At 35.6% G+C, this 12,602-nt stretch overlaps 1 annotated feature.

Annotated features, from left to right (window-relative positions):
- Nucleotides 485–1,063: an enhancer, noted in NCBI's record as "NANOG hESC enhancer chr4:67472478-67473056 (GRCh37/hg19 assembly coordinates)". NCBI's record gives its function as "activates a minimal SCP1, AML or CMV promoter by ChIP-STARR-seq in primed H9 embryonic stem cells {active_cell/tissue: H9 hESC(primed)}" and the evidence as "EXISTENCE:reporter gene assay evidence [ECO:0000049][PMID:30033119]".

Raw genomic sequence — 12,602 nt, forward strand, 5'->3', positions numbered from 1 at the left:
ATTAGAAAATAAGATTTAGTATTTATTACTTGTATCTTTAATATGATTGTATATTATGTATATGCATATGAGTGTGTGTATGTTATAATGGCTGTATTGACAACCAGCTTGCATAACTCAAATTTAACAATCTGCTCTCAGAGTTGACACAAGCCAGCTCCAGCAAACCAGTGGTTTTAGATTTTATAATGTATGATTTACAAAACAAGAATTTAAGTATTCCAATCTCTATAAATAATTTAAAACATTCCATAGATATTTTTCTTAAAATTTTTGACAGGGAATTTTACACTAGTCAATCTTTAACAGTTTTTATGTAAACACATAGCATTAGTGTTTATTTAGTTAGTTGTACCAACAGTATCACTAGATATGGACTTTTTTGAAGACAAAAAATGTATACATACAAATAGAGTCAAAGATTAAAAATCACATATCAGTTATAACCTTTACATACCTCCAAATGGAAATATAACTATAATAAAAGAGCATTTATCATATATAAATATTCTTATGTGCTCTATTTTTATTTCGCATGTGATAAAATAATAGGTCTCCTTTCACCTTTGACACCTCTCCCTTTCATAAGGTAAAAATTATGAGCCTTGTCATTTGCCTTCCTCATGAGACTATCATAAGGATAAATGGAATAATATCCAGGCAGCATGCATGGCTATTTAGTGAAAAGGCATTTTGCTAAAAACAAAGAGACTTGCAACTCCATGCACAGTATGACCTAGTGTTACAGTTAAATTGTAGAATTGAATAGGTAAGTTGGTTTATTGTGAACACACAGCAGGAGTGTCAGATCCTTATCTATGCTGGCAATTCCACTGATTCTTCCCCAGCCTCTTAATGGTTTCTTTTTGTGTACAACCATATGGTGACAGTAAGCATGGCTTGACAGAGGGTCCAGCAGGGAAGTTGCATGATCTTTGACTTCTATATGCTAAACTTTGCCTTAGATAATCCTTCATGGACTGACCTTTTAGATTAACTGCTGTAACTTTGGTTTTACAGTGCAAATATAAATGTGCTTCAGCCAACAATAGTCTGAGTTAGGATAATATTCAGTCCACATATGTGGGGAAATAAAAGGATAAACACAATATCCTATGTTTGCTAGCTGAAAAAGAAAAACTACAGCCCAATATGAGTATGTGTAAAATGATCTTTAACTTATTTGAAAATGAATATATAAAAATCAATAAGGCAAAGATGTTTAATTTTCAGATGTGAAGTGAATTTTCAGATAGAGAAAGGCTATTTAGCTTCTAAATAGCTTTGAATCCACTTCTATGTTTAGTGATTTATGGGGGGCTTTCCTCAATTCCAAATTCTTAAGTTTCCCAGTAGAAAATGAAAGATGCAAAGCTGAGACCCTAGAAGGGTTTATATGAGGACTCCAAGTAAGAAATGTACATGGAATAAACACTTTATTAATATTTTTTTCCTTTTTCAAATTCTTTAAGCCCCTGCTAGTAAAACCTTGGCTATGATCTGTCATATATGTGGATTTCCTATATCACCATCACCATCTCAAGAAGTAAATTATTGTTTGAAGGAAATTTAATAGATTCACATTATAATTAAAGTTATTCCATAAATTAAAACAATTAAAAGTTTACAATATACTGGGGCAGTTGGAGATGGGAAAATAGCTTTCAAAAATCCACGGAGGAGTTTGCATAAATCCAATCTAATGTGATCAGTTAGATAGCTTGACATAATGTTAACTTTTTCATTATTTTCCAAAAAAGCAAATACAAATTTTGAGGGCTTTTAATGTTCACGCCAATTGTCAAATACTTGTAAGTGAGAAATTGCTGTCACCATTTTGCTGTTGGTTAGCAGCAATAGCTGTGTTAGTGAAACATCCATTTTTAATGAAGGCCTAGAATAATTTCGTGAGCTTCCTTTCTGCCACCTAGTCAGGAGAAAGTAGTTCTGAGAAACATAAATGATTAATATAATACGACATTGAGTAGAAAACACATCTTAGTCATTTTTAGTGAGGGTAAATTTATGGAACCTCTTTATCCTTAATAACAAAACAAAACTTTGCTTAATCATGTTATTGCTTGAAATAAAGTTTTGCGCTTTCATAGAACTTTAACAGGACTTGTATCTAAAAATTTTTATTGTTCTTGTATAAAATACAAGTGTGATGGTACTTCACTTTTATTATTCAAATTATGCATGTTTTTACCTCTGGATGGACTTCCTTCTTAAGTTTTTATGAAGAAGATCCAGTACATTTTCCATTTCTCTAAATGCGTCCTTATTTCCTGAAGTTGTGATTGTTTTTTATTTACTATTTCACTGAAGATTTCTCCCCTCATATCTTGTATCATTTTTTGGATTTCCATAAGGTGGACTTCACCTTTCTCAGGTGCCTTCTTCATTAGCTTAATAATCAACCCTCTGAATTCTTTTTCTGGCAATTCAGAGATTTCTTTCTGGTTTCGATCCATTACTTCTGAGCTAGTATGATTATATGAGGGTGTTAAAGAACCTTGTTTTGTCATATTACCAGTGTTGTTTTTCTGGTTCCTTCTCATTGTATAGGGTATGTCAAGAGGGAAGATCTGGGGCTCAAGGCTGCTGTTCAGATTCTTTTATCCCACAGGGTTCTCCCTTGATGTAATACTCTCCTCCTTTTACAAAGGATGTGGCTTCCTGAGAGCTGAACTCTAGTGATATTGTTATTTCTCTTCCAGATCTAGTCACCCAGTAAGTAGGGCTAGCAGGCCCTTTGCTGGTACTGAGGGTTTCTGCATAGGGCCTTGTGATGCGGACCCTCTTCAGGTCTCTCAGCCATGGATACCAACACTTTCTCTGATGGAGGTGGCTGGGGAGGTAAAGGGACTCTGTAAAAGCCCTTAGATGTATTATTGTTCTTTATTGTACTAGTTTTGTGCTGGTTGGCCTCCTGCCAGGAGGTGACACTTTCAAGAGCATCAGCTGTGGTAGTATAGGGAGGACCAGGCTGTGGGCTAGGCCCTAGAATTTGTAAGAGAATATTACCTTTGTCTTCAGCTACCAGAGTGGGTAGGGAAGGACCATCAAGTGGGGGTAGAATTAGACATGTCTGAGCTCAGATTCTCCTTGGGCGAGGCTTGCTGCCACCATTGTGGGGTTTGGGGGTGTGGTTCCCAGGTCAATGGAGTTAATGTTCCCAAAGGATTTTAGGTACCTCTGCTGTGCCATGCAGGTTGTCAGAGAAGGGGTGTTGGGGGGCGGGGGAGAAGCCGGAAGTTACAGACCTCACCCAGGTTCCACACAACCAAAAGGGCTGGTTTCACTCCCACTGTGCTCCCCACCGAACAGCACTGACTGAGTCTGTTTCCTGGCAGTGGGCAAGCACGGCTGAGAACTTGCCCCAGGCTCTCAGCCTCCTGGAGAAAGCAAGCAGGGCTTTTGCTTCTCCCACCCTGCCAAGTCTGCACATCAGATTCAAGCCCTCCCCTGGGTTCTGGCCAGGAAACTTCACATTTGGTTGGGATTGTTACAAAGTTCTGCTAGAGGTTTGCTTCTCTCTGTGGTCTTTTTCCAGTTCCTCTGGCAGCCCTCCCCAGGGACCACTGAGACAAATCAGAAATGGCTTCCCTGGGGACCCAGAAGCCCACAGGGCTTTTTCCTGCTGCTTCCTCTAACCTGTATTTTGCTCGGCTCTCTAAGTTGTCTCAGATCCAGGTAAGGTCAAATCTTTCCATTACCTGTACCTTCAGGTTCCCCAGTGAGGGTGTGTGTTGAGGGGCTGATCATCCCCCTTTCCTGCTTTCACAGTTTGAGCACTCCCAATATTTGGGCTGTCCCAGGAGTCCTGCAGGAACAATCTACTTTCTTTAAAGTGTCTGGGGATTTCTGGGTTCATTTGTTTGAAAAAATAAACCTGTATCTTACTTAAGCTACTGATGTTTTGGTTTTCTGTTACATGTGGCAATTTAACCTTTAAGTGATACAGCAGTGGTATAGATGAGTACATGATGCCAAAGGAGCTCAACATTATTTTCAGGGCACACATTCCTTGTACAGCTCTGTTCTTTCATTCCTGAAAGTGGTTTTTATTTGCATGCTTGCAACATAGCAGTTGGTGTTCAAGATATCATATCTGCATCTCAGGCATAAAAAAGAGGAATATAAAGGGAAAAAAGGCAAAGGGGCAAGCCAATGTATCCGTTCTCCTTTACTAGATTTTAAACTTCAATGGCCTAATCTTTATCATGTGGCCACAGTTATCTGCATAAGAGAAAAAGAAATGTTATAATTTAACTGGGCACATGTTCCATTCAAATAAAATTGATTTTTGTTAGTATGAAGAAGGGGAGGGTGAATTCTGGAGAGGTCATTTAACATTCTGTGTCAAATGGCACTTTCTAATATGCATCAAAATATGCAAAAAAGTCCTTTAGGAAGAAATAGTGTGTGTTAATCATTTGTGCATCATCAGCAACTGACAAATGGAATACAACAAAAATAAAATACATGATAATTTTATTTATTAAATTAATAGAATCAGAGGCATCTACATTTGAAGATGCTATAACCATTTACATTTGAAGATGCTATAACCAACTATGAGCTCATGATATTTCTTTACTTTGTATTACAAATTTGCTCTCATACAGTCAGAGATGGTGTCAGAAAGACCCCCTTTTAAATCTGGGTTTAACACTTTTTATATTTATTCTTAGCTGAACAATACAGACAAGTTTAAAAATCTCTCTGAGGTTTATTTTTCTCACTAAAAAAAAATCTGGGTGATAAGATCTCCCTAAAAGGGTTACTGAAATTATTTAAAGTGACAACACCTGTAAAGTTCTGAAGACTATGCCTGACACATTACTATGCTAAGTAAATAGGCACTTTTAAGTATTGCGACCATAGCACAGAGTGAAAGACATTTATCTTTCTCTACTTTAGATTTTTTGACTAAATATTTTTTACTGAAAATAAAATATTTGGCTTTTACTATTATTAAAAATCATGAATGAAAAATGCATTTTTTATTCTTGATATTCCTGTGTTCCATAAAGTCAAATTTTGACAATAGAATAAAGACTAACGTTCAGGATCATATTGTTCATATTCCTTTCTCCAGACAGAAGCTAATTAAATACCTGTGACTGAGAGTAAAATATATAAATTATATAACTAATCAGATAATGAAATAACCACAGCAAAGGCTTATTTTTAAAAGTGTATGCCATGAGAACAATTTATATTTATTTCTTATTTAAATTCCACATGTGTGGAACTTATTTGCCCTTCGTATATTCTCCTTGGAACAAGTAAACAAGTGCCCTCACTGTCAGAGAGTAAAAACAAAAGCATCATTTGGATAACACAAGGAATATTTATATTCTAAAGACCTTAATTTTGTACAAAGAGTTACATAATGTATTAGTAGGGAGATAATATATATCTGCTCCTTATATTTAAATTTTAAAAAGTTTTTAATTACTGACTTCATAAAAATCTGAAGTCACTGAACAAACACCAATAAAAATAGGTTTATGTAGTAGAAAGAGTAGACACAATCTTTCCTAATAGGGTGAGAGAGTCAGCAATCTTTGAAAATTTATTTATCCTCCTGGACTCAGGGGATGCTCAGGTAATTGAAAAAGAACACAATAATACTGAGTTTCTAATGGCATCAGCAATTCTGCATACATGAAAACATTGAAACTGTAGTTAAATAATTATGGTACACGGCTTAGTGAACATAAACATAATGGCAGTGCTTCACAGCTTCTGAAGATATTTTTACTATGCTTTTACACAAAATGATGGAGACTTTTATGTAAAGTTTGGGATTATAATTCACCATTTAATTTATATATTTGCCTACTGCCATAAAATCAAGCTAATCAATTTAGCTTCTAACAAGGTAATCTATTTTCCATATTCTTGCATATTCCCTTTTCTTCTGAAATGCATTTTAATATATGAGTTACATTAATTGAAATCCAGGTGATTCATCACAAGAGATCCCTGAATACTTGCTAGCTTTTTTGACATTCTCTAGCCAAACGATAAGTTTATTCTTGGGTAGTTATTTCTAACCATCATGAGTATTTTCATTTCAAATGCTTTTTAATGGAATTATTGAAAAAAATAATTCACTAGTATCTAAATATAAGAAAAAATGGAGATCTTTGAGAATGATATCTATACACAAAGTTAAGAACCAGGAGGAGAAAGACATAAAATTATGAAAAGATAAGAGGTAAAAATGTGGAAGCAGAAAAGAAAAATACCTAGAAAAGATCTATGTCTATGGGTGATAAGGATGGAAAGTAAGCATAGAAGAAAGTGAGTGAAGACAGACACATACAGATAAACTAAAAGTAATATTGCTCTATGGGATAAGGCTTCAGAGAATGAAGTTGGTCACTATGTATGGAGTTTGGAGAGATTTAGAATGGAGCAGAGTATGCAGAATTGTTTATTAGTATGTTGTTGGTGAACTTTGTGAGGGTGCTTTTGGTAAATGACAATATACTATAGGCCAGTGAACTTAAAACTATACATATTTTAGCTTCCTGTTGGAAGAGTCCTAGAGATGATAATAGAAAATGAAGGCTTGGAAGAAAAGTTGAAGATGATGGGTGGTGACAACAGTAGAGAGATATTGAAAAACACTATTTACCCAGATGAAAAAGAACTTGAAATGTTTATCTGCTCATCATAGAGCTTTTTTCCTTTGACATTGTGTGATGGCTACATTTATTCATGAATTAAAAAAAATTCTATAATTTTAAGTTTTATTTTAGATTCAGTTTCAGATTTGTGGGGTACACGTGCAGGTTTCCTGCATGATGCTGAAGTTTGGAGTACAAATGATCCCATCACCCAGTATTGAGCATAGTGTCCAGTAGTTCACTTTCAACCCTTGCTTTATTTCTTCCTTCCCCCAACTAGTAGTCCCCAGTTTCTATTGTTGCCATCTTTATATCCATGAGGACGCATTGTTTAGCTCCCACTTATAAGCAAGAACATGAATTATTTTACTTTCTGTTTGTTGCTGGTTAATTCACTTGGGATAATGGCCTCCAGCTACATCCATGATGCTGCAAAGGAGATAATTTCATCCTTTTTGTGGCTGCATAGTATTCCATGGTGTATATGTACCATTTTTCTTTATCCAGTCCACTGTTGATGAGCACCTAAATTGATTCCATGACTTTGCCATTGTGAATAGTGCTGCAATGAACATAAATATGCATTTGTCTTTAAGGTAGAACAATTCATATTCCTTTGGGTATATACCCAGTAATGGGATTGCTAGGTTGAATTGTAGTTCAATGTCAAGTTCTTTGAAAAATCTCCAAATTGCTTTACACAGCAGCTGAACTAACTTACATTCTCACCAGCAGTGTATAATCATTCCTTTTTCTCTACAGTCTCACCAGCATCTACTGTTTTTTGACTTTTTAGTATTATATTAGCCGTTATGACTGGTGTGAGATGGTATCTCATTGTGGTTTTGATTTGCATTTATCTGATGCTTAGTAATGCGGGGCATTTTTTCATGTGTTGTTGGAAGCTTGTATATCTTCTCATGAGAAGTGCCTGTTCATTTCCTTTGCCCATTTTTTAATTGGGTTATTTGTTTTTTGCCTGTTGATTTGTGTAAGTTCCTTATAGATTCTGGATATTTGACCTTTGTTGGGTGCACTGTTGGTAGATTTTTTTTTTTTCCATTTTGAAGGTTGTCTGTTTACTCTGTTGATAGTTTCTTCTACTTTGCAGAAGGACTTTAGTTTAATTTGGTCACACTTGTTTATTTCTGCATTTTTTTTTTGCAATTGCTTTTGAAGACATAGTCATAAATTATTTCCCAAGGCCAATGCCCAGAATGGTGTTCTCTAAGTTTTCTTCTAGGACTCTTATAGTTTGAGGTAATCCATTTAAATCTTCAATCCATCTTGAGCTATTTTTTGTATATGGTGAAATATAGAAGTTCAGTTTCCTTCTTCTGCATATGGCCAGCCAGCTTACACAGCACTATTTATTAAGTAGGAAGTCCTTTCTTTCCCCATTGCTTATTTTTGTTGCCTTAGTCAAAGATCAGATGGCTGTAGTTGTGTGGCTTTATTTTTGTGTTCTCTCTTCTGCTCCACTGATCTATTCACCTGTTTTTGTACCAGTACAATGCTGTTTTGATTACTATAGCTTTATAGTATAGTTTCAAGCTTGGTTATGTGATGCTTCCAGCTTTGTTCTTTTTGCTTAGGATTGCTTTGGCTATTTGGGCTCTTTCTTGGTTCCATATAAATTTTAAATAATTTTTTTCTAGTTCTGTGGATAATAATATTGATATCTTCATAGGAATAGCATTGAATCTGTAGATTGCTTTAGACGGTGTGGCTATTTTAGTGATGTTGATTCTTCCAATTCACGAGCAGGGAATGTATTTTCGTTTATCTGTGTCATCTATGATTTATTTCATTAGTGTTTTGAAATTTTGTACAGATATTATACCTACTTGTTTAGATGTATTTGTACAGGGTTTTTTTGAGGTTATTGTAAACAGGACTGCATTCGAGATTTGTCTGTTAGCTTAAGCATTACGGTGTATAGAAATGCTACACATTTTTTGTTCATTGATTTTGTATTCTGAAACTTTACTGAAGTCATTTATCAGTTCTAGGAGTCTTTTAACAGAATCCTTTGGGTGTTCTCACAATAGAATCATATCATCAGTGAAGAGAGATAGTTTGACTTCTTCTTTTCCTATTTGGATACCTTTTATTTCTTTCTCTTACCTGATTGCTCTGGCAAGGGATTTGAATACCGTGTTAAATAGGTGGTGAGACTGGATATCCTTGCCTTGCAGTTCTCAAAGGGAATGGTTCCTGTTTTTTTCTATTCAGTATGATGTTGGCTTTGGTCTTTTCCTAGATGGCTCTTATTATTTTGAGGTATGTTGCTTTGACACCTAGTTTCTTGAGGGCTTTTTTTTTAATCATGAAAGAATGTTAGATTTTATCAAAAGCTTTCTCTTTACCTATTGAGATGATCATATGGTTTTTGCCTTTAATTCTGTTTATGTGGTGAATCGTATTAATTGATTTTGGTATGTTATACCAATGTTGCATCTCAGGAATGAGGCCTACTTGATTATGATGAATTAACTTTGTGATGTATTGCCAAATTCAGTTTGCTAGTATTATGTTGAGGATTTTTATGTCTATGTTTATCAGGGTTACTGGTCTATAGTGTTGTCTTTTCATTGTGTCTTTGCCAGATTTTTATATCAGAGTGATGCTGACTTCCTAGAATGAGTTAGGGAGGAGTTCCTCTTCCACAATTTTTTGGAGTAGTTTCAGTAGAATTGATACCAGCTTTTCTTTGTATGTCTGATGGAAATTGTCTGTTAATCCATCTGATCCAGAGACTTCTTTTTACCATTGGCAAGCTTCTTTCATTACTGATTAAATTTTGTAACTCAACATCTGTCTGTTCAGGGTTTCAATTTCTTTCTGATACAATTGGGAGGTTGTTTCCTTACAAGAATTTATCCATTTCCTGTAGATTTTCTATTTTCTGTGTGTAGAGGTGCTCATAATGGTACCTGAGGATCTTTTGTATTTCTGTGGGATTGGTTTTAATGTCACCTTTGTCATTTCTGATAGCGCTTATTTGGATATTTTCTCTTTTCTCTATGTCAGTCCAGCTGACAGTCCATTGATCTTGCTTATCTTTTTTTAAAAAATAACTTTTGGTTTTGTTGACTCTTTGTATGACTAGTTGGATGTCAATTTTGTTCAGTTCTGCTGTCATTTTAGTTATTTATTTTCTTAGCTTTGGGGTCAGTTTATTATTTTTTAATTTGTTCTAGGTGGAATATTAGGTCATTAATTTGAGATCATTCCAACTTTTTGAGGTAGGTGTTCAGTGCTATAAACTTTCCTCTTAACATTGCTTTTGTGGCATCCTAGAGATCTTAGTTACTGTGTCTCTGTTTTTATTTATTTCAATGAATTTTCTGATTTCTGCCTTAATTTTGTTTACCCAAGAGTCATTCAGGAGCAAGTTGTTTAATTTCCATTTAATTGTGCAATTTTGAGAGATCTTCTTGGTATTGATTTCTATTTTTATTCCATTGTGGTCCAAGAGTATGGGTGGTATAATTTTGATTTTTAAAAATGTACTGAGACTTGCTTTCTAGTCTGGGGTCAATCTTAGAGTATGTTCCTTGTGCAGATGAAAAGAATATATATTCTGTGTTAATGGGGGTTCTGTAGCTTTCTATTAGCTCCAATTGGTGAACTGTCAAAGTTAAGTCCAAAATATATTAGGTCTTCTGCCTCAATGATGTAAGTGTCAGTGGGAAGGTGAAATCCTACACTATGATTAAATAAGTCTTTTTGTAGGTCTAGAAGTACTTGTTTTATGATGCTGGGTACTCTAATGCTAGGTGCATATATATTTAGGATTCTAAAGTCTTCTTGCTGAATTGAAACTTTTAACATTATGTAATGTCCTTCTTTGTCATGTTTCACTGTTATTGGTATAAAGTATGCTTTGTTTGATATAACAAGAGTGCCCCTTGCTTTTTTTTTTCTGCTCGTGTCGTAGATTTGTCTCCAACCTTTTTCATTGAGCTTATGGGTGTCTTTACATATAAGATGGGTCTCTTGAAGACAGCAGACAGATGGGTCTTGGTTTTTATCCAATGTGCCACCCTGTGCCTTTTAAATATGACATTTAAACCATTTACATGTACAGTTAATATTAATGTGTAAGGTTTTAATTCTATCATGAAGGTGTAAGCTGGTTGCTTTGTGGTTTCTATTGTGTGATTTGCTTTATAGGGTCTATGAGCTATGTATCTGTGTTTTTGTGTTAGCAGGCATTGTTCTTTCACTTCCATGTTTAGAATTCTCTCAAGGACCTCTTGTGAGGCTGGTATAGTGGTAACAAATTTCCACAGTGCTTGCTTGTCTGGAAAAGATTTTATTTTTCCTTCACCTATGAAGCTTATTTTTGCAGGATATGAAATTCGTTCTGGAAATTCTTTTATTTAAGAAGGCTAAAAATAGAGACCCAATCTCTCCTTACATTTCAGATTTTCTCCTGATAAGTTCACTGTTAGACTAATGGAGTTGCTTTTGTCCATGATCTAACTTTTTCTCTAGGTGATTTTAGTATTTTTTAATGGAGGTTGACCTTGAGAAGTCTAGTCACTATATGCCTGGGTGATGTTTGTTTTGTATAGTATCTCACAGATGTTCTCTGCATGTTTTGTATCTGGATGACAAGTTCTCTAGCAAGATTAGTGAAACTGTCATGAATAATTCCCTCAAATATTTTTTATAGGTGTTTTATTTTTCTTCTTCTTTACCAGGAATACCAGTGGTTCACAGGTTTTGTCACTTTACATAATCCCATATTCATCAAAGATTTCTCTCATTTTATAAAGTTCTTTTATCTTATTTTTGTCTGACTGGGTTAGTTCAAAAACTCATCTTCAAGCTCTAAAATTGTTTATTCTGCTTGGTCTAGTCTATCATAAAGCTTTCAATTGTATTTTGAAATTCCTTAGTTGAGTTTTTCATTTCTAGATCTGGTTGATTTATTGACTCCTTTTTAAGATGTTTATCTCTTCCTTCATTTCCAAGATTGCATTAGCAGTTTCTTTGTGTTGATTTTCAACTTTTTCTTGGATCTTGTTGAGCTTCCTTGAAATCTATGCTTTGAATTCATCTGTCATTTCTGAGTTTCTATTTTGGTTAGAGACCATTGCTGAAGTGCTAGTGTGATCCTTTGGTGGTGTCACTACATTTAGATTTTTCATGTTTCCAGAATTCTTGCACTGATTCCTTCTCGAACTTCTTAATTATTGTAATTATTTTCATGTAGGTAGAATAACTTCTATTTCTTCCTTTCCCTATAATACTATTATTTTTCTTCTTTCTCTTTCCCTTTCCTCTACTCTCTAAGGGGTGTGACTGTAGATAATGCTGGTAGGTATGGTCTTTTGACTTTGCTTCTATGGAACTATGCACTTCCCTTGGAAGGTTTTGTATTGGACTGTGCAGTTAGAACTATAATCCAGTAGATAGCACTTAGGGGTAAGAGCCAGCTGTGGCCAAGGAAGCTGGGTATGCACTTGATTCCTGTTTACTAAGAGAAGCTGTCTGTTGCCTCAGGCAATGGCCTGATTCCTGGAGTGCACTGTGATCTGAGCTCACTCCTCAGCCCCCAGGTAGTGGGGGCAGGGTGCAAAATGGGCAGATCCAGACTGGGAAGGTCCACATGCAGATCCCTTGATGTCAGCAAAAGCACCAGGGCTGAGGGAGAATCCAGTGGGGGGCCACCAAGCACCCAGGGTTGTGCCTAGAGATGGAACTGGGAAACCTCCTTAGCCCCAAGTCCTCTGCATGAGGATAGGGGGTGACCTAGGCTCCTGTGCCCGGAGAGTGGGTGTTCCAGATGTCTAAAGATCTTCCTAAGCATAAAGAAGCTCCCCCCATATTAGGATCCCTGCATAGAAAGAGTAAGGTGGTTCAGGCTGTTGTTCCAAACAAGTGGGTGTTCTGAATGCCTAGAAATTTGCCTGTATATGGACCAAAAAGGGCCCACTGCAT

Source organism: Homo sapiens, chromosome 4, assembly GCF_000001405.40.
Source record: "Homo sapiens chromosome 4, GRCh38.p14 Primary Assembly".
Taxonomy (NCBI): domain Eukaryota; kingdom Metazoa; phylum Chordata; class Mammalia; order Primates; family Hominidae; genus Homo; species Homo sapiens.